This window comes from Homo sapiens, chromosome 4 (assembly GCF_000001405.40).
Source record: "Homo sapiens chromosome 4, GRCh38.p14 Primary Assembly".
Taxonomy (NCBI): Eukaryota; Metazoa; Chordata; class Mammalia; order Primates; family Hominidae; genus Homo; species Homo sapiens.
Genome location: NC_000004.12, coordinates 185,094,008 through 185,116,427, shown reverse-complemented (window position 1 = coordinate 185,116,427; position 22,420 = coordinate 185,094,008). Strand labels below are relative to the sequence as shown.

Genomic DNA, 22,420 nt, shown 5'->3' with positions numbered 1-22,420 from the left:
ACCGCTCTCCAGAAACTTACACCAATTTACCTTATTACTAACAGTACATATGCACATCAGCGTTAGCTTTCGCCCTGGCCTATGTTGGGTGTATTGGTTATCTATTGCTGCGTAAAAAATTACCTAGAAGTTTGCCAGCCTAAAACAATAAACGTTTATTTTCTCATGGTTTCTGGAGGTCAGGAATTTGGGCTGGGAGTCTCTGGCCCGGAGCTCTCATGAGACTGCAAGTTCAGCTGCTTGCCAGGGCTGTAATCACCTCCCAGTTCACATGGGGGAGGATCTACTTCCAAGCTCACTCATTGGCTATCATCCAGATGTTATCAGGTCTTCGCCATGTGGGCCTCTCCACGGCGCAGCTCACAGCATAGCAGCTGGCTTCCCTCAGATTAACAGAATGAGAGAGAGTGCCCGAGGAGGAAGCACCAGTCTTTTTAGAACCTCATTTTGGAAGTAATATTCCATCAATTTGTCATATTCTATTTGTCAGAGCAAGTTACTACGTCCGGCCCATATTCCAGGGAAGGGGATTACACAAGGAAGGGCATGAATACCAACAGATGGGATCACTGCGGCCGTTTAGAAGCTGCCTATCATAGTATATTACCTATCAAAGTACCCTTATTTCAAAATTAAGCTTTGCCAAAAGTAGTAACTCAATTTTATTTTACTTTTTTCATATTTGATTGCCTGTACAGTTGACCATATTATTTATTTACTAATAAGCTAATATTTGTCTAGTAAGTTTTTTGTTTTGTTTTGTTTTTTGTTTTTTTTTTGAGACGGAGTCTTGCTCTGTTGCCCAGGCTGGAGTGCAGTGGTGCGATCTCGGCTCACTGCAAGCTCTGCCTCCCGGGTTCACCCCATTCTCCTGCCTCAGCCTCCCGAGTAGCTGGGACTACAGGCGCCTGCCACCACGACTGGCTATTTTTTTGTATTTTTAGTAGAGACGGGGTTTCACCGTGTTAGCCAGGATGGTCTCGATCTCCTGACCTCGTGATCCGCCCGCCTTGGCCTCCCAAAGTGCTGGGATTACAGGCGTGAGCCACCGCGCCCGGCCCTTATCTAGTAAGATTTCTTACAACAAATAGACATTTGTTGGCTCACAGTTCTGGAGGCTGAGAAGTCCAGTGTCAAGGCACCAGCATCTGGCAATGGGCTTCTTGCAGCATCATAACATGGCTGAAGGGTGAAAGGGTGAGAGAAAGAGAGAGAGAGAAAGAGAGAGACTGTAAGAGCTGGCAAACCCATTCCCATGATAATGAACCCATTCCCACAATAACAGCTTTAGTAACCTAACTACCTCTTAAAGTTCCCACTTCTCAATACCATCACAATGACAAATTTCACCATGAGTTTTGGAGTGGATGTTTGTTAAACAATAGTATAATATAATATTTATTGAACATTTACTATGAGCCAGGTATTGAGTTAAGCATTTTGTATGCATTTTCTAATGTAATCTTCCCCATGATCCAATAAGGTAGGCACTTTCATTATCAAAACCATTTTACACATGAGGAAACTGAGGCACGGGATTAAAGTTATCAAATGTTATATAACTGGTGAGGGAGCTCCACAGTCTGTGCTCTTAACCATTATCTTACATGCGTCTTATGCTCATGTGTGTATTTGTGCTTTTACACATATGTATATGTGCATAAACAATATAGACAATTGTGTTTTAAAACTACATATAAATGATATCACGTTGTACAAATATTTTTGCAATTTTCTTTTTTCACTGAGCGTTGGTTTTGAGATTTATCCGTGTTGATAGATGCAGGCACATTTAGTCATTTTAACAGTCTTGTGGAATTCCATTGTGTGAATGAACCACAGTTTAGCCATTTTCCACTGAGGGGAGGTTAGTTTCATTTTTTTCACAGTGAGATAAAATGCTACACTGAACAGCTTTCCGTATGTCTTTTGGGGCACATTTGCATGACTTTCTCTAGAATAGATAACTCAAATGGATTTTTTGGCTACTGGGGCTTGTGTCTCTCCAAAATGAATGTGCCCATTTATTTACCAGCAATGTGTAAAAATTCCCGTATTGTATGTCTCTGACATGGTTTGGATCTGTGTCCCTGCCCAAACCTCATGTCAAATTGTAATCCCCAATGTTGGAGGTAGGACCCGGTGGGAGGTGATTGGATCATGGGGGCAGTTTAGTACCATCCCCCTTGGAACTGCTGTCGCGATAGTGAGTTCTCACGAGATTTGGTTGTTTAAAAGTGTGCAGCCTCTTCCTCCTCTCGCTCTTCCTCCTGATCCAGCCATGTAAGATGCTCTTGCTGCCTCTCTGCCTTCTGCCATGATTGTAAGTTTCCTGAGGCCTTCCCAGAAGCCGAGCAGAAGCTGCCACGCTTCCTGTACATCCTGTGGAACTGTGAGCCAATTAAACCTCTTTTCTTTGTCAATCACCCAGTCTCAGGTATTTCTTTATAGCAGTATGAGAATGGACTAATAAAATCTCTAGCTGTATTAGTTTGCTAGGGCTGTCAAAACGAAGTATCACTAGCTGGGTAGCTTAAACAGCAGAAATGTATTTGCTACAATTCTGGTGGCTGCAAGTCAAAGATCAAGGTGTCACTGGAGTTGGTTTTCTTCTGCGGCCTCTCTCCTTGGCTTGCAGGTGTCCATCTTTTTGTGTCTTTACATGGTCTTCCTTCTGTGTGCATTGTGTCTTAATTTCTTCTTCTTAAAAAACACGAGTCAGATTAGATTAGAACCCCTCCCTAATAACCATATTTTATTTCACATTAATTAACTCTATCCAAATGTATTTATTTATAGAGACAAGGTCTCACTATGTTGCCCAGGCTGGTCTTGACCTCCTGGCCTCAAGCAATCCTCCTACTTCAGTCTCCCAAAGTGCTGGGATTACAGGCATGAGTCACCATGCCTGGCCTTAATTATCTCTTCAAAGACTCTATATTCAAATACAGTTACATTCTGAGGTGCTGGGGGCTAGAACTTCAACATATGAATGTTGAGGGAATACAATTTAGCCCACTCACACTTGTCAACACTTGGGCTTATCAGTCTTAATAATTTTTATCTGTGAAAGTTGACGGACTCAAAATTGGAGTCACTTGTGTTAAAAATCCTGACAAATAGGGCTGGGGAAGACCATGGAAGGGAGGTCTCTCACAAATGCCCAGGTGTTTGAGACGAGCCTGGGTGACATAGGGAGACCCTGTTTACAAAAACAAAATAAAACCACCTCCCACTCCCCAAACTTTGTCAACTAGCAATGGCTGTTTGCTCTCTCTCTGTGGTTGAAAAGAAAGATTTTCTTTCAGTCCTGAAGAAGTTGGCCTGGCAGCTGAAAGAATATTTTGATGATTTCCTGAAGAGAGGAAACCTTATAAACAGTCCAACTGGCATTAGTTATTTGGATTTCCTGAGAAACTTCCAGGGTCACAGCAATGACAGGGATCATGTACCATATTCTCTCAATGCCCACACACAGGTTACTGCCTGCCCCTCTAGACTGGGAATGCCATTCTTCTAATCCACTGAGTCCTACCAGTCCCAGTGAGAAATGTTCAGGGAGGCTCAGCTCCTTCGATTCCTTCCGTGTGTGGTGCTGTCTTCCCGGAGACCCTATGCTAACGGACAAGGGGTATCCTGGTCCACGGATGGTCCATGAGCAGTCGACCTCTAGGAACAAAAGTGCTATAGGAATGAAATTACTCCATGTTGTTACCAAAATTATTGGTATTATTGTTAAAATTCCTTTTTTTAAAAAATTTTGAGACAGTCTGGCTTTGTCACCCAGGCTGCAGTGCAGTGGCAATGTTAGCTCATTGAAACCTCCAATTTCCAGATTCAAGCGATTCTCCTGCCTCAGCCTCCCGAGTAGGTAGGATTACAGATGTGTGCCACCAGACCTGGCTAATTTTTGTATTTTTAGTAGAGATGGGGGTTTTGCCATTCTGGCCAGGCTGGTCTCGAACTCCTGGCCTCAGGTGATCTGCCCACCTTAGCCTCTCAAAGTGCTGGGATTACAGGCATGAGCCACCAGGCCTGACCTGAAATCACTTTCATGTAAGAACCAGTCTGCTTTCCCTAGCTGAGGAGGTTACTGCTGTGTATAGGAGGAGAGGTACTGATTCAGTATGACTCATTTCCCCTGGACAGCTCCTTCATTTTCCCCAGTGCCACACTGTATTTTTAGCTTTGGCCTTCTACAGCGCTTGACCTTTTGCCTGGATAGAACAATGTGCTATGTAGTGCAAACCCACAGCCTTCCCTGCCCCATGCAACATAGGGGATGAATATATTAGATTATGCCTTCTTTGGCAGATCTGCAATTTAGGTAGGACAAAGCAATACTGCTTATACACACACACACACACACACACACACACACACACACTCCTTTGGTAACATTGCCGCCACCTCTTCTGCCATCTGATGCAAGAGATTAGTATAATCTTAATATTTATGAAAATATTTATAAAATGTGGACAAGAATCCTTGTACCAAAATATTAATTCTACTCATTCTAGACTAAGAAACAGAAACAACCTTTAAAAATAGAAGAGTAGTTAAATAAATCATGGATTATCCATACAATGAAATGCCAAGCAGGTATTAAAAATGATTACAATGAATTTTTAATGAAATGGGAAAACCCTAAATATGAAATATTAAGTAAAAAGTCTTAAGCCAAAAACTATAAATACAACATTATTAACAACAGGCTATGCCCGTGCTTGTCTCACCGAGCCCACTGTCACAGCCTCAACCAGCAGTGAGCCCCTTCAATCCATCCTCCACATTGAAGCCAGAGAGGTCTTCTTAAATTGAATCTAACCTTGTCCACTCTACACTCAGGCTCTCTAGTGACTCTCCTACTGATGTTCAGACTCATTGACATGGGTTCCAGGGTAGCAGAGGGCTCTGGAACCCATGTCAAGGAGCCTACCCGCAGGAAGATGTTCAGGCTCACTGACATGGGTTCCAGAGCCCTCTGCTATCCTGGTCCTGGCACCGCCTCAGCATATGTGGGTGTCCTATTCCCCCATCTTAAGCAGCGTGCTTTATATTGCCTAGACTTTTGCACATGTTCCGAACAGAAAGTCCGTGCCTTCTTTTTGTCTTCATATCTTCTTCTCAGGTGGTCCGAGTGCAGTCACAACCAGTTAAGGATTTCTTTGTTCCTTCTCCACTCCCACTGCTTCACTTGACTAGCCGAAAAAAACAAAAAAAAGACATCTTCTTCTCATCCTTCAAATCTCAGATTAGCCCTCATTTCCTCAGGAATGCTTTCCTCATCTCCACCAGGATCTCCTCACCCCTTCTCCATGCTTTTATTCCTCTCTGCGTGTCCCCTTACAGTAGAACCTATTGCCTATTTTTTTTTTTTTTTGGGGGGACAGAGTCTTGTTCTGTCACCCAGGCTGGAGTGCAGTGGCATGATCTCAGCGCACTGCAACCTCCGCCTCCCGGGTTCAAGCAATTCTCCTGTCTCAGCCGCCTGAGTAGCTGGGATTACAGGCACGTGCCACCATGCCTGGCTAATTTTTGTATTTTTAGTAGAGATTGGGTTTCACCATGTTGGTCAGGCTGGTCTCGAACTCCTGACCTTGTGATCCACTCACCTTGGCCTCCCAAAGTGCTGGGAGTACAGGCATGAGCCACTGCGCCCGCCGAACCTATTGCCTTTTAAAGTAACTGCTGATTTCCTTACGAATGAAAGCTGGATCTATGCCTGTCACGTTCATTATTTGCTGCCAGGAAACAGCGCCACAGGGTAGGGCACTCATTAACTGTTGAAAAATCAATAGTGATAAGCTCCCATTGGTTAATAGAGATTTTCTCTCTGAGGTATTCACTTTTGAGTGGTTTAAAATTTCTTCTTTATTCTCATACTACAACAAGTTTTTTTTTTATTGTGGTAAAAAAATTCTGACATTAAATTTTACCACCTTCCTGTGCGCGGTGACTCACCCCTGTAATCCTAGCACTTTGGGACGCCGAGGTGGGCGGATTGCCTGAACTCAGGAGTTCAAGACCATCCTGGCAACATGGCAGAAACCTGTCTCTACTAAAAACACAAAAAATTAGCATGGTGGTGTGTGCCTATAATCCCAGCTACTCGGGAGGCTGAGACACGAGAATTGCTTGAACCTGGGAGGCGGAGGTTGCAGTGAGCCGAGACTGTGCCACTGCACTCCAGCCTGAGACTCCATCTAAAAACAAATAAAAGAATAAATAAATTTTACCACCTTAACCATTTTTTAAGTGTACAGCTCAGCAGTGTTAGGTGCATTCACACTGTTGTGCAACAGATCTGCAGAACTTTTTCATCTGGAAAAACTGAAACTTTTGTAAAACAAAAATAAAATTCTAAGTTTCCCCAAGTGATTGAATGGACCCTCTCTGAGCAAATGGGACTCCAGAAAAACCTGAAAAACTGAATTCCCAGCCATCATGGGAAGGGAGGTAGGACACACCTACACCTTCCCTTTGGAGTTTTGGCACAACTGACCAGCATTAACATTACAATAGACATGTTAAGCCTGACAAAACAGACTCTTTGTGGCAATAAGATACAAAATTCCAACCTGACTCTGGTATAGCATCATATGACAGACAGTAGACCTTGAGGAAAATAAAATTATTTTACCCCAAAATATATTTCTTTGACATATTTTGAAATGGTCCTGCAAAGTCTTCTGTGGGGGAAATTTGCATCTGTAGAGGATTTCTGTCAATGCAGCCAGGCCTTTCCTGGATCTAGGAGAGATTAACTAAGAGTCTGACACCTGTTTTTTTTGTGTGTGGTTTTTTTTTTTTTTTTTTTTTGGAGATAAACTCTTGCCCTGTCACCCAGGTTGGAGTGCAGTGGCATGATCTTGGCTCACTGCAACCTCCACCTCCTGAGTTCAAGCAATTCTCCTGCCTCAGCCTCCCAAGTAGCTGGCACTACAGGCATGTGCCACCACACCCAGCTAATGTGTGCGTTTTTAGTAGGGATGGGGTTTCACCATGTTGGCCAGGCTAGTCTCAAACTCCTGACCTCAGGTGATCTGCCTGCCTCAGCCTCACCAAGTGCTGGGATGACAGGCATGAGCCACGGGGCCTGGCCTTGACACCTTTTACGGTCTGAAAAGACACATTTGCCATCTATTCTCTCTGAAGGCTGCTACCTGGAGGCTTCATCTACGTAATAAGAACCTTGGCTTCTGCAATCCCCCTTATCTTAATTCAAGCATTTCTTTCTAGACTTCAAGTCTTTAGACAAAGCTTAATTCTTTCAACTAATTACCAATCAGAAAATCTTTGAATCTGCCTATGACCTGTAAGCACCTTACCCACCTTCCACTTCCACTTTGAGATGTCCTCACTTTCCAGGTTGAACCAATGTACACCTTACATGCATTAATTTGTATCTTTGTCTGTAACTTCCGTCACCCTAAAATGTATAAAACCAAGCTGTAATCTGACCATCTTGGGCATGCCTTCTCAGAACCTCTTGAAACTGTTCCCTGGGCATGGCCACTCGTGCTGGCTCAGAATTAACCTCTGTAAATGTTTTACAGGGTTTGGTATTTTGTCAACACACTACATCCACTAAACACTAATTGCTCCCACCCCTTTCTGGGAACTTCCTTTCTACTTTCTGTTTCTACAATTTTGACTACTTTAGATACTTCAGAGGAAAGGAATCATGCAGTATTTATGACTGGCTTATTTCTCTTCGCATAATGTCTTTGAGAGTCGTCTATCTTAAAATACTTTTTTATGATATGAACTGTTACCTCTATAACTAGAAAATAAGTTTTAATAGAATCGTAGGAGCTAAAAGTGACTCTAGAACTTATTTTGACCTATTTCCCCAACTTCATACTTTACTTTTTCTAGATGATGTAAACCAAAAATAAAATTCTAAGCTCCCCAACTGACTAAATGGGTCCCCTTCTCAGCCAAGGGCATTCCAAAGTCAACCTGAAAAACTAGTTCCGGTCATGATGGGAAGGGGGGTTAGATATGCTTGCCTTATTGTTCCCTCCTCCTTTTGGAATTCCGGGCACAACTGACAGCATTAACATTAAAACAGAGCTCTTAAGACTGACAAAATAGTCTCTGTAGCAAAAAGATACCAAATTCTAACCTGACTCTAGTGTAGCATCACAGGACAGATAGCAGCCCACAAACACACTGAAGTATTTAACTCTGAAATATATTTCATTGACATATTTTTAAATGGCCCTGCAAAGCTGTCTCTTACAGGGAAAATCTGCATTCTGTAAAGAATCCCCTTCCCTTTTCAGGTCTTTTCCTGATCCAGGAGAGATGAACTGAGTCTGGCACCTTTTTAAGTCTGATGAGAAACATTTACCATCTATTCTCTCTGAAGCCTGCCACCTGAAGGCTTCATCTGCATAAGAACTTTTGTCTCCATAACACCTTATCTTAACCCAGACCTTCCTTCCTATTGATTCCAGGTCTTCAGATCATAATTTAACTTTTTTTAACCAATTGCCAATCAGAAAATCTTTGAATCCACCTATGACCTGGAAGCTCCTGCTTCGAGCTGTGCCGTCTATTTGGACTAAACCAATGTACATCTTACATGTATTGATTGATGTCTGCCTGTAATTTCTGTCCCGCTAACATGTATAAAATCCAGCTGTCAATCAACCACCTGGGCCTTGGTCACTCATATTTCGCTCAGAATAAACCTCTTTAAATAGTTTACAGAGTGACTCTTTTTTTTTTTTTTTTTGAGACAAAGTCTCGCTCTTGTCCCCCAGGCTGGAGTGCAGTGGTGCGATCTCTGCTCACTGCAACCTCTGCCTCCCAGGTTCAAGCTATTCTCCTGCCTCAGCCTCCTGAGTAGCTGGGATTACAGGCACCTGCCACCATGCCCAGCTAAATTTTGTATCTTTAGTAGAGACAGGGTTTCACCATGTTGGTCAGGCAGGTCTTGAACTCCTGACCTCAGGTGATCCACCCACCTCGTCCTCCCAAAGTGCTGGGATTACAGACGTGAGCCACCGCGCCCAGCCCAGAGTGACTCTTTTCATTGACACTAGATGAGAAGCCCAAAGACAGAAAAGAAACTTGCCAAAGGATAAAGATTGACTAATGGTAAAATTGAGCCCAACTCATATATAAATAAGTAATAAAAGTAAATTTTAGTCCTTTTACACATTATAGCACTTTTCAGCCTTTTATTTTCTACTAGTATTAGCTGTTTAAAAATAATTTTGTTCTCTAATATTTCATTTTGTATTTGAAGCACAACTAATCTGCCTAGAGAACAACAATTCTGTTAAAGATTGTCCTTTTTCAATTTGTTTATAAAATGCATTCCATTGGTGTTCAGATTTGACATTCTGGGCATGGGGCATCCTGTTGGCATTAAGAATAAAAGGCTTCCTCAGGTTTGTGGGAGAATTTGATTCCTGAGCCACTCAGATCTCACAGGGCTGGAGTCACCAGCAAAATGTCACAGAGATATTTTAGTTCAGCTGCTTACAATTACACATTTTCTCCTCCTGAAAGAGAAAGATCCCATAAGTGACAGTTTGTCAAATAGCTACCAAAGAAGACCCTCTTGTTTTCAGGGCCCAAACTAATTAGTTAGCTCAACAAACATGGATTACGAGTCCACCACTGGCCCTGTTGTCAGTTAGAGACAAATTTAAGACACTTATTTCTTGAGTTGGTGAAAAAGAAAATGAGATAATCAGTGCCATTGAGAGCTAAGGGTCATAGCAGTTATGGAATAAAACCCCTTCATTTTATTGCATATGAGAAACCGAAGTCCAGAGAGGGACCCAGGGGCAAATGGCTAGTCAGTTATGCGCTAGACCTTGAGATTCCTGCTTCTGACTCCCAGGCCAGGGCTCCAGGCAGTGCCCTAAGTGGTCAAGTAGGACATGACAGCCCCCTCATTGTATGCAGGCTCAGTGTGAAAAGAGAGACAAAAACTCACTCAGCTGCTTTTCTTAGAATTTTATTCTTCTTTTCTAATTTACGTGTCAGGGTGATTTTCAGTCTTGTCTTAGTATCTGTACTGGTTTTGAATCATGAGGAGAAAACTCTGGAGATTTCCAGCCCGCAGTGATTTAGGCTAGCTTGACAGGATAGTCCAACATGGATGGATTATCTTTCTTTCTTCCAATAGATAGAACGAGGAAAGGAAATTGCAAGCCTCAACTGAGACTAGGCCCCGTGATATATAGTGTATTTACCTTGGTTTATGTGAAATAATGGCTAAAACCTGCTTGGGGAGGATCTTTTGCTTGATGTTTTCGGTTTTGTTTATGACTGGAAGATAGGAATCCTTTCCTATCTAAATGTGAGGTTGCAGCACATTTTGGCAATTTTTCTAACATAAACACATTTTGTATGTTAAGATTTGAAGGAGAATAGACTCCCAAATGTTTTATTGTGCATTGCCCATAGAGTACTCTAAAATGCAGTGAAAATAATTTTAGAAATTTTGATTAAATGATAGATTGCTTCACATTTTATATTACTGTATGACTTTATAAGCTTATGTTACTGATATGAAACTTAGTGAATATATGTACAAATAAATAATTGCAATTCTTTGAAATGTAGGCAAAAATTATCACATCATTACGACACTTTGTTCTGTAGGGTTGCAAGAAAAGAAATAATATCCTTTGGACAAAAAAGTACCCCAAGCCAGGTGTGGTGGGGTGTGCCTGTAGTCCAAGCTACTCGGGAGGCTGAGACGGGAAGATCACTTGAAGTCAGGTGTTCAAAGCTGCAGTGAGCCACGATCACACCACTGGACTCCAGCCTGGGTAACAGAGTGAGACCTCATCTCAAAAACAAACAAAAAGTATCTCAATTTATAAAAGCATCTCAATTTGTTGCAGAATATCCACACAAATGAGGAGTATGTTTAAATTTATGTAAATTAGTTTAAGGGAATGCACATTGTAACATTTGTTAAATACTGTCCTGTAACTATTGCTGTTGATTGGATACTCAGCAAAGTGACACTGTTAGACAGGACTAGTGCTTTCCACAGTCCCTCAACAGGTGCTGTAGTTTCAAAATTACCCAAACGTTCTTCTCCATTGGGCAGAAATTATTTTCTGTGTATAACTTTTGGTAACGTAGATGGTCAGAGGTTCCATGTTTCTCAGTGTGGTGGTCACCAGGTGGATTTCATACTACAGCAGGTCCCTGTTTTCTCAACTGCTCTCTTTCCAGAGCTAAAAGCTGACGTGAATCTTGCTCACAACATGTAGAGTGGAAACCCGCTCAAGCACATTCAGTAAAAAGTCAACCAGCCAAGTGAAAGTGGATGAGCAAGAGGGCAGAGGTGAATGACTGAGGGTCTACTAAGAAGTGTTCCCCAGAGACAAATTAACTATCAAGTATTTCTGATGGACTCCCCCAAAGGAGTAAGGAAACTTTGCCAGTATTTACTTTCAATCTGTCAATTTTAGACTATAAGTTATTTCAACATAATTTACTTTGGCAGTTATATCATGTGTGTTTACTTATGTGCCAGAGTTCTGCAGGCAAAAGAATGGCCCAATTCAAGTGACAGCTTTTTAGCTTTAAGATGTTTTCAACAAAATGCTAATACTTTTACCTCTCAGAATAAATAACTCAGTTCCCTCCTTTTGAGGAGACTCAGAATTAGAAAACATTCTGGCTAAATAAAATTGGATCTAGGTCAGCTCTTTCATTTGACAGAGGAGGAAACTGAGGCACAGAGAGGCGAAGTGACTTTTTCCTAAATCTCATGGTTAATTATTGGCAGAACCTGGACCAGAACTCAAGTTTCTTGATTCTCAGTTCATTGCTCTTCTCCACTTAAAATCTGTTTTCCTCAAACATGGCTTTTTACTTCATCATATAAACATTTTCTCAGTTCTACATCTCAGCTCACCCTCACGGGTCCATCCTTTTCTGGTTCCTTTCTACATGCCACCTTTCTGGCAAGCTCTTTCTGGAGTGCAGTGGCATGATCTCAGCTCGCTGAGACCTCTGTCTCGTGGGTTCAAATGATTCTCCTGCCTCAGCCTCCCTAGTAGCTGATATTACAAGTGTGCGCAACCACACCTGGCTAATTTTTGTATTTTTAGTAGAGACGGGGTTTCGACCATGTTGGCCAGGCTGGTCTCGAATTCCTGACCTCAAGTGATCCACCCACCTCTGCCTCCCAAAGTGCTGGGATTACAGGCGTGAACCACCACACCAGCCCCTAGCAAGCTCTTTCTGAAGAGCAGGCTGCTCCTCCCACTCTCTCACTGCCGCTCAGTCCAGTGGCTTGGCTTCTTTGCCCTTGAACTTGCTCTCTCCAAGGTGTCCAGTGACAATGTCCACCCTCCAGTCCTTAGTTTATTTGACTTCTCTGCAACATTAAACTCTACTGTCCACTCACTCCTTCCTAAAACCACGCATTTTTTTCTTCTTGGCTTCTATGATACAATCTCCTGGTTTTCTTCTCTCTCTGGCTTCTCCTTCACGGATTCCTTGATGGGGTCTAGTTTCTCACATCTTAAATGCTTGTATGGCCCAGTTACTCTTCTCATGTATATGTTCTTAGACGTGCTGTCGGGCACATCATGGCTCCAACATCACCTCTGTGAGGATGACTCTCATGCCCACATATCTGGCTCAGACCTCCCTCTATCTCTCCCCGCCCCCACCTTTTTTTTTTTTTTTTTTTTTGAGACAGGGTCTCACTGTTACCCAGGCTACAGTGCAGTGGCACAATCAATCACACAACTCACTGCAGTCTCAAACTCCTGCGATCACGCAATCCTCCCACCTCAGCCTCCCAAGTAGCTGGAACTACAGGTGCACACACCATGCCTGGCTAATTTTTTATGTTTTTGTTTTTTGTAGAGTTGAGATCTCCCTATGTTTCCCAGGCTGGTCTCCAACTCCTGGCCTCCAGCAATTCTCCCACCTGGGCCTCCCAAAGCACTAGGTTTACAGATGTGAGCCACCATGCCCAGCCTCAGACATTTCTTTTGAGTTTCAGCCACATATATCTACTATAAACTTCATCTCAAATTCACCACATTCAAAACCTGTGCCACTTCCTCTACCTTCTGTATCTTAGTGTCTGTACAAATCAGAAAACAAAGTAACCTAGACTCCCATTCTCCCTCAACTCACACTTAACAAGCCACCAAGTAGTACAGAATCTATTGCTTTATCATCTCTCCTGTCTTCTCCCTCGTCTCTACCTTGAGCAGACACTGTTTTGTCTTGCCTGGACTACAGCAGTAGCTTCTTAGCTGCCCTTTCTGCCTCCAGTCTGCCCACCCCTACATATTGCTGGACCCTCAAATACTGCTGGATGTATGACCCTTCTATTTATTTATTTTTTTGAGACAAAGTCTCACTCTGTCACCCAGGCTGGAGTGCAGTGGCGTGATCTTGGCTCACTGCATCCTCCATCTCCTGGCTTCAAGCGATTCTCCTGCCTCAGCCTCCCAAGTAGCTGGGATTACAGGTGTGCACCACCAGGTCCAGCTAATTATTTTTGTTTTTTTTTTTTTGAGACAGAGTCTCGCTCTGTTGCCCAGGCTGGATATTTTTGTATTTTTAGTAGAGACGGGTTTCACCATGTTGGCCAGGCTGGTCTTGAACTCCTGACCTCAGGTGATCCACCTGCCTCGGCCTCCCAAAGTGCTGGGATTACAGGCATGAGCCACAGTGCCCAGCCTGTATGACCCTTCGAAACTGCAAATATGATTAGAACCCTTTGGCATGCATGCCAGGTCTTGCATTCTCTGGGTATGGCCTTCCTCTCCAGCCTCGTCTCCCTTCACCCCCGCACATCCACCTTCCATCTCAGCCTCTCCAAACCACATACAAGCTCTAAGATGCACTGTGCTGTTTCTTGCCTCCAGTTCCCTTCATGTGCTGTTCTTGAAATGCTCCTCCCTTTTTTCTCATTCACTCACACTCATCCTTTAAGTTCAGTCTAAGTGTCGCCTCCTCAGAGAGCCTTCTTGCATTCTTCCATCTGACCTAGATGCCTCCTCTCCTCCCTGACTCTCTCACAGCACCCACTCCATACCCTATTATAATTGTTTCTAAACTGTAAACTCTCAAAGACCGAGTGTATTTTCAGCCTGGTGTATTAATATCGCATTTACAGATTTTACTTGAGTTTTTCCAGTAATGTAGCATATGCATTACAGCACAAGGTGATTATGTGCCCCCAACTTTCTCTGCTTTCCGGAGCTCCCAGGTGAGGGGTCTGGAGGCATGCGCAAGACCATCTACTGCTCAGAGCCGGGAGTTGCAGGTGCCACCTCCTTCCCCTAACCATGCCCCCTGACCTCTCCCTACTCTTGCGAGTGAGCCTCATGGCCAGGCTGCTGCGGAGCCAGGAAATGGGATGTCTGGATGCCCTGCTGCTGGACTGCCACAGCTTCCCAGGCCATCTTCTTGGCCCCTCCCTACCCCCACCCCAATAAGACTGGGTGAGAGGGGAGGTGTTGATGCTCGTTCTGCTGACTGGCCCCTTTGTGGGGAGATGGCTGGCCCCAAGACAAGAGATGGTGGTTCTCTAAGCATAGAAGGTGGGAAACTCAGCATCTTTTCTTTTCTCAGTCAATTCCAGAAGTAACGGTAATAGCCAAATTCTTCTTGTGGGCCAAGAGCAATTTTGAGGGCTTTACATTTAATCCTTGTGGTAACCCTATGACGAATGAATTAACTTTATTATTCTCAAGTGACATATGACGAAATTGAGTGAAAGAATGGTTAAGTAACTTAACAAAGTCATGAGCTAGTAAGTGGCAGCGCAGATTCAAACCAAAGCAGGCTGGTGCCAGAGCCCTTCTGTGTGCCCCCGGGGCTCCACTGCCTGTCTCCTCAACCAGATGTTACAGGGAGGTTCACTGACACCCACGGCGATGGTCCAGAGCACTGCTTGGCAGCCAGGCGTTCCTCCCTGCGCCTCAGTGACCTCATGGGATCATGGTGCTTCTCTTTGCCCCTCATTTAATTTTACCTGCTGGATGTGGTTTTCAAGTTACAACATCTCTTGGTTGGCCCCCCATGGGTTTTTAAAAATATTTCTCTTAGAGTTTAATTATTAGTCATCTGCCCACTATTTATTTGTACTTTTCATGACATTTACTTTCATATGCTTTTACTGCTTTTTTTAATTGATAAAGTAATATGCACTCATGATAAGCTATGCCAATTGCAAAAAGTGGACAGTACGTAGAACAAAGGTATACCTTTTGTTCACAACTTAAATGTGGTAATAAAATGTATGCTTTTTCTGTGACTAATCTAGCCTTGTTTCTAACTCCATCCTCACCTTACCTCTCTGCCACCCCCACCCACAGACTAGCGGCAAAAAATTAAAAAATAATAATAACTCGTGGCTCACACCTGTAATCCCAGCACTTTGGGAGGCCGAGGCAGGCGGATCACGGGGTCTGGCTAACACGGTGAAACCCCGTCTCTATAAAAATACAAAAAATTAGCCAGGCACGGGGGCGGGCGCCTGCAGTCCCAGCTACTCAGGAGGCTGAGGCAGGAGAACGGCGTGAACCCAGGAGTTGGAGCTTGCAGTGAACCAAGATCGAGCCACTGCACTCCAGCCTGGGAGACAGAGCCAGACTCCGTCTCAAAAAATAAATAAATAAATAAATAAATAATAATAACAACTCAGTGTCTGATCTTGGTTAAATCTCAGTCTGCCTGGTAGTTTCAGCTGTGCTTTAGTGGGGAGGGGGGGTTCGGCCTGTCTTGGAGGAAAGGGTCAATCTCCCAGAGAGCTTGTCCTTCACCCTGCTCCTCTCAATGAGGAGAGGCAGGGACGCGGTGCAGCTGTATGGCCTGGAAGCCAACATTCTCGCATCTACTGGGTGTCTGTCTGCTATTCCCTGGCTTCCCCGGCCCCTGGGCAATGCTCTCTAGCCATCAAGGACACCCTGAAGACCCCTGGTGCTGAAGTTGAGTGTGGAGGTCGGGGTCTTGTGTGGGGACAATGCTCCTGGTGGGTCTTCCTGGCTGCCCTGACCTCAGCCAGACTCCTGACAGCCCTGCCACCCTTCTGGGTCTGGGGAAGCCTCCATTCAACCCTACTCAGGTGGTCTTTCTGCAGCCCTCCACAGAGCCAGTTTGCCCTGGCCACAGCAACTGCCCCTGGTCAGCTTCCCAGCCAGGGCTAGTCAGCACAGGGACCCAAGAGCAGCTCAGGAAAGCTAGGCGTGGGTGCTTCTTCCTCTTCATCACAATGCACAACTAAAGCGTGTCTCACCGTGGCTGTGCTGGGTTGGAATGGGACACCCACGAGGCAGTCCTCCCCAGAGCCCCACGAGGCAGTCCTCCCCAGAGCCCCACGAGGCTGTCCTCCCCAGAGCCCCACGAGGCTGTCCTCCCCAGAGCCCCAGGCAGAGCGCTTTGGGAGGGTGCAGCTTCTCTCTCTGCCCTTACTGTTGCTTGCACTTACTTTCTTCACCATCCCTCCTGGATGTATTTAAAAACAAAACAAAGCATGGCCTGTCACTGACTAGAGTGTTATTTTCTTTACTGTGCGAGAGAATCCAACATGTATGAGTCCCGAGGCTTAGGTGCTTGTATACTCAAGGGGCAGATAAAGGAGTCTGAATCTTTTCCTTTTTCTCAGTAAAGCTCTATTTTCAGATATCGGTGATTGAAAGAAAATTGCTTCAGTCCTTCTTTAGGCATTCCTTCCACAATGTGTAAGTTTAAAGATTCTTGGCTGCAAGTGACAATATCCAACTAAAAGTGTCTTAAACAATGAAGACACTGATCATCTCAAATGACAACAGTGCTGGGGCTCCAGGCTCCAGGGTTGGTTTGGCAACTCCAAAAGGCCACCAAGCACCCAGCCTCCAGCTGCCCCGTGCTCCACCATCCTCAGCATGCTGGCTTCTCATGGTCCGGCTCAGCCCCCAGGCCTGGGGGAAGCTGCAGCTGCTCCAGGCATCCCTTCAGCAGGCAGCCTCATCAGCAGGCAGGGGAAAGGGGCGCCTTCGGGGCGGACAGACAACTCCTCAGGTCTCTCCTCTTCTTATCAGAGTGAAAACCTTTCCAGAAGCTGTCCCAGCAGACTCCTCTATTTCATGTCATCCCTAACCTTGCCATATGCCCGGAGTTGGAAGGAACACTGGGAAGGAGAGTGCCAGGCGTTTCCACAGCCTCTGCTGTGGGAAGCAGGATCTGCTGCCTTGGAGGAAGTGGGAGGTTGATGGCTGTGGAGTAAGAAACAGCAGCATCTACCGCCTGAAACAGACCCTGCTCTTTCCCCTGGACAGGACTATGCTTTAAGTGCTCTAGGCTTGTGCTCAGAAAAGGTAAATAGAAGAATCCACTAATAACTTTAAAATATTATCTCCTCTATATGGCAACATGCACTATGGATACATGGTAATATGTACTTTTTTGTATTTTACTTTTTTCATTTGACTATGCTAACTTAATCATATACTAAATTCTATATACACTGGAGTCTATTTCTGGACTTTCTGCAATGTCTAGTCCTGTGCAGTGTGACACTTTGTGTTGTACAATCTGGCAGGGCTAGGCATCTTTACTACTCTTCAAAATTTGCTTAAATATTTTTGCAAGTATGTTTTTGTAATGTTAGCCCCCATTGAGAGCTGAACTATGCCTTAAAGGCCTGGTTATACTCATGTTTACACACACATATTCATGCTTAACTGGAATTATGTGCTATTAAATGACCAAGCTCCTCTTGTTAGCTATCCCAGAGGGTCACAACTTCAAATTTCTGCATGAGCCAGGCAAGTAATGTAAATGATTGAAGCAGGCTGTAGTTCAAAGATTAAACACACAGCAATATTCTTAGCTTCCTGAAAGAAACAGTCTTTCCTCCATTTTTCTAGAACCATGTGTCTCATTTAATCTCTTTTGATAAAAACATAGTAACTAGGAAATATTTCTCAACTACCAAGTGACTAGTAAGTTGCATCCAACATTTGGCCTTAATTATGGGGAAATAATAAAGAGTAGTGGGGATTGTGGCAACTCTGCCTCTTCTGAAGAGAGTAATGGCATCAGCCCTACCAATGGCTGCTATTGGGGATTACAGATATTCACATATCTGCTGATTTTCACAGAGAGCTAAAAATACAGATTTTATATGAAATTTCCTTATTTAAAATGCTAATATTTAACACATCTGCAGGCCAGGTGCCATCAATAGGCTACTAGCATGTAAGCTCTCAATTGGACCTATATATTACTACCACTAAAAAGTAGTTTTATTTTTGCTAAATTGTAAACTATCGTTTTTAACTGACTAAACCAAATACTAATCAAAATAGCTAAAAACCCAAAACAACTCAGAGGAAGCTGTATGTAAAGTTACGTTGGATAATGTTAATATTAACCAAGGGGAACCAAATTGAGATCTAATGATTTCCCCAGCTTGTTTGGGCATAATCTTATTTATTCATTTTATTCAATTAATTTATTTACTGAGTACCAACTAAATTCAAAGTATGGCAGTGGACTTAGAAGGAGGGAGAAAGAAAAAAAGACATGACACCTTCCCTGGTTGGACTTACTTTCTTAATGCCATTAATGCCGATATTAACATAAAGCAGCTAATATCAACATTAGCCCAGCTTTGGACTAAAGTTATCACACACACACACACACACACACACACACACACACACACTTTATTAAGATATTTAAATAAATATTGAGTTTTTTCTTTTAAGTATCACCAATAATGCAAATAAACAAAAAACCCTCCGAATTCTAGAAGAGTTCTTGTTTTCATTTAGAAGTCCAAAGAATGGGAAAATTAATCAAGGTAAAGCAAAGAATTTAAAAATGTGAAGTTTTCAATTAAAAAAGAGGAAAAAGCTGAGGCTGGATTCCTGACTTTATAACATGCTGTCTTCACCCAGAGACATTAAGTAATATTATTTAATGTTACATTTTAAAATAGGTTTTGTAATGAAAGAAGAATCAGCCCCATCTCTACCTTAACCACAATTGAAGTCAAATTGGCAAATTTGTTTCATTACAATTTTCTCTAATTCTTGACCACTTTCCAGTAGGTATTTGATGAAGGTGAATGTTCTACTTTCTGTTTGTTTCTATACTGGTTACTTCCTCCTCAAGGGAATTACAAAACCAATCATTATTTAAGTGTCTATTAAATTAGAAATATTTTTGATAGAGATATGATATAAATATACTTTAGTTGACACTTCTGTTAAAGTGATGGAGAGTTCTGAAATCATCTGTAGTTTGGTTTGTATGTTATCAATAACTCTGAAGATTGTGAAGCTGCATCTTGAGAAGATATTTTTCTTCTGCCTGTGCCAACTTGTCTATACAATACAGTAGAAAAATGCTCATATAAGTTGACTCACTTATGCTAGAAATCGGACCATTTAAAAAATCTATTTTTTGTGTGTGTAATTTGAGGGAACTGTTGAATAATTTTCAGGAAGTTAGAACTATAGCACCTGGATTTACCATGACAAGGTCCATTTTTCTTTTTCTTTTTCTTTTTCTTTTCTTTTGTGTGTGTGTGTGTGTGTGTGTGTGTGTGTTTGACAGAAAGATTAACAAATTAAAATAACACATCATTGGTCAATAGAATTTCAAAAATAACATACATGTAAATTATTGAAAGCAGGTAATAAGAATTTACATATATGTTATTTTTCAATGAAGTACTATATAAATAATGGAATCTTTGGTCATTTCACTTTTCTACAGCGCCGTTAAGTGAAATAAATTTTTTTCTGTCTCTTCACTACAAAATGATCAATATTTTTCTTTGTTTGTTTTACTTACCTTTATAAAAGAAAACTGTATGAGCTGTCATTTAAAAAATTTCTGAGGCTGGGCATGGTGGTTCAAGCTTGTAATCCCAGCACTTTGGGAGGCCGACAGGGGAGGATCGTTTGAGCCCAGGAGTTCAAGAGCAGCCTAGGCTGAAATTAGGTGAGAGATTTTAGGTATTAACCCAGCCAGTAAAAAAACTACAAATGGTAATTTCCTGAATTTGAAATTATAATATTAAAAATTCATCATTTTATTTCCTTCTCTGTATGAATATCTCTTATCATCAAATAATCTCTGATTCTACATATTATTAATCAGTTCATTATCATTATCATACATGGTTGGAGTAAGAGAGCTTTTGATTCCTGCTGGGTGACTATGAAAATCTCTAAGCCACCAGGTGGCAGAGTGTCCTTGGTTTAGATTGAGCATTGCATTTTTTTTTTTTTTTTTTTTCACTGATTGCCAAATGAATTAATAGTTTACAGCTATTGTGAGCAACTTTTAAACCTTTTACTCATGTACCCCTACAATCATTTTGAAAACATGTGCATCACCCACAAACTTTTAAGTTTACATATATTTCAACAAAAGTTTAAATAACCGAGGAGATGTAACTTTTGGCATACTGTAGAAACTTTAAAATAAAATTGTTATATCAATCTTTACATACATCTAATAGAATACAAAACATTATAGGGGTCGATAACCACCATCATCTGTTTTTAAAAATTCTGAAACAAGCTCATCTTTCATAGTTGGATGCTTTATATTACTCCTTTTTTCCTTGAATCTCATTTTCCATTTTATCTCCTCTACAGAATTTTATACTAATATAAAATATTTCATAATCAAAAAGCTGTGATCACCCTATTGTACTTCTCTGCAACAAGAGTATGTATATAGATACTTTATTTTTTATTTCTCGTGACCAAAGGTGTTGAACGTCAAAATTTTACTAACATACAGTTATCCAACACCATAAACGTATTACTTTTGATAAATAGTTATAACAAAAAGTGAAATTAATTGGAAATGCATTCCTGAATGAGTCAGCTTAGGGGGTTAGAAGTTTTCACTGTTTGGGGCCCAGGATTCTTACACTCCCAGGCAGTGCACTGCAGTAAGATTCTGGATGGGAAAGAGGGGGCCTTTTGTAAAGTAGGAGAAGGTTGCTTGTAAAAGAAGAGACAGGAAGAGGAGATCCAGCCTAATGAAATCTTGTTAATTTTAACATAATGGGCGCAGGTTAATTTTAGGAAAGAATATGTATATGAGCTGATGATCTAGAAATTTGTTTTCTTAAAACAGTTGTTCTCACCTGGGGGACATTTAGCCCACAGGGCACATTTGGCAATGTTTGGAGACATTTTTGGCTGTCACACTGGGGGCAGGGTGCTGGCATCTATTAGGTAGAGAACAGGGCTACTGCTAAACTACTCTGTTCCCAAAGCAACACAGCTGAGAGCCTGAAACCTAGCAAGTGCTCAATAAATGTCTGTAGAAAGGGAAAGACAACAAAAAGGAGGGAAGGAATCACACAATTGGCTGCAGAGGGAGCTACAATAAGATGACTGGACTCTTGCAATTAAATTTGCTGAAAACTTCAGAGTACTGCCTTCTCTTCTGTGTTTATACAGTTTTCTTATCCGAAAGGAGAAATTCGAGGAATAACATTTAAAACGTCTACATTTTCCCAGTATATATTTTCATTAATTAGAGAAATCCTGAAAAACACAAAAAAGACCAAAATGACCCCTAATTGTACCACTTAAATATCTACAGAGAATGATAAATAGCAGGCCCTGTTTTGCTTATCTCATCCCACTTTGCCTAGATAACATCTGCTAGTTAGTTGATGCCCATTCCTTCATAATTTTTTCAAAGTTTTTTTTTTTCTTTTGATGGGAGTTTCGCTCTTGTTGCCCAGGCTGGAGTGCAATGGCACGATCTTGGCTCACTGCAACCTCCACCTCCCAGATTCAAGCGATTCTCCTGCCTCAGCCTCCTGGGTAGCTGGGATTATAGGTGCCTGCCACCATGCCCAGCTAATTTTGTTGTATTTTTAGTAGAGACAGGGTTTTACCATGTTGACCAGGCTGGTCTCGAACTCCTGACCTCAGGAGTGATCCACCTGCCTTGGCCTCCCAAAGTGTTGGGATTACAGGTGTGAGCCACCAGGCCCAGCCTTTTCTAAGTTTATAAAGAACAATTTATACCTTTAAACTTTAGAGTATAGAATATTAAGATGGCTTCAAAATTGCCTATTTGAGAGATTCTTTCTTTCCTAATATTAAAAGCACAGTGGTCCATCGGGGGTATATATGTATACTCACACACACATGCGTGCACACACACACCTACACACATATTATTGTGTACTATGAGAAACAAATGACCATACGTTAAAAATAATCTTTATTGAGATATCATACTGCTAAAGTTTAGAAACATCTCCTTGGGGGTTTAGGTAACCGCAAAGTTAGAGGGAACCCAGCCCTCTATAAGACCCACTGCTCTCCTGACACTAATCGCAGGTTTGGGGGACCGGTCCCAAAACCGCCCTTGAGTTCAGTTATTCACTAGAGGGACTCACAGAGCTCACTGAGAGCTGTGATACTCA

At 42.3% G+C, this 22,420-nt stretch overlaps 1 long non-coding RNA gene across 10 annotated transcripts in view, besides 2 other annotated features; it reads right to left on the bottom strand.

Annotated features, from left to right (window-relative positions):
* Positions 159 to 453: an enhancer, noted in NCBI's record as "tiled region #4736; K562 Activating DNase matched - State 5:Enh". NCBI's record gives its function as "activates a minimal TATA promoter and a strong SV40 promoter by Sharpr-MPRA in K562 cells {active_cell/tissue: K562}" and the evidence as "EXISTENCE:reporter gene assay evidence [ECO:0000049][PMID:27701403]".
* Positions 6,310 to 6,948: an enhancer, noted in NCBI's record as "NANOG-H3K27ac-H3K4me1 hESC enhancer chr4:186030634-186031272 (GRCh37/hg19 assembly coordinates)". NCBI's record gives its function as "activates a minimal SCP1, AML or CMV promoter by ChIP-STARR-seq in naive and primed H9 embryonic stem cells {active_cell/tissue: H9 hESC(naive and primed)}" and the evidence as "EXISTENCE:reporter gene assay evidence [ECO:0000049][PMID:30033119]".
* LINC02436 (long intergenic non-protein coding RNA 2436) overlaps positions 9,180 to 22,420 on the bottom strand; it is a 55,372-nt gene continuing 42,131 nt past the window's right edge. For 8 of the 10 annotated variants that reach the window (NR_147059.2, NR_174107.1, NR_174106.1 and 5 more), the window contains 2 exons: positions 19,807 to 19,946; positions 9,180 to 9,521 (listed from right to left, as the gene is read on the bottom strand). This is a non-coding gene — a long non-coding RNA (long intergenic non-protein coding RNA 2436). The remainder of the gene's footprint in view (positions 9,522 to 19,806; positions 19,947 to 22,420) is intronic. The other 2 variants (NR_174108.1, NR_174110.1) reach the window with 1 other exon arrangement.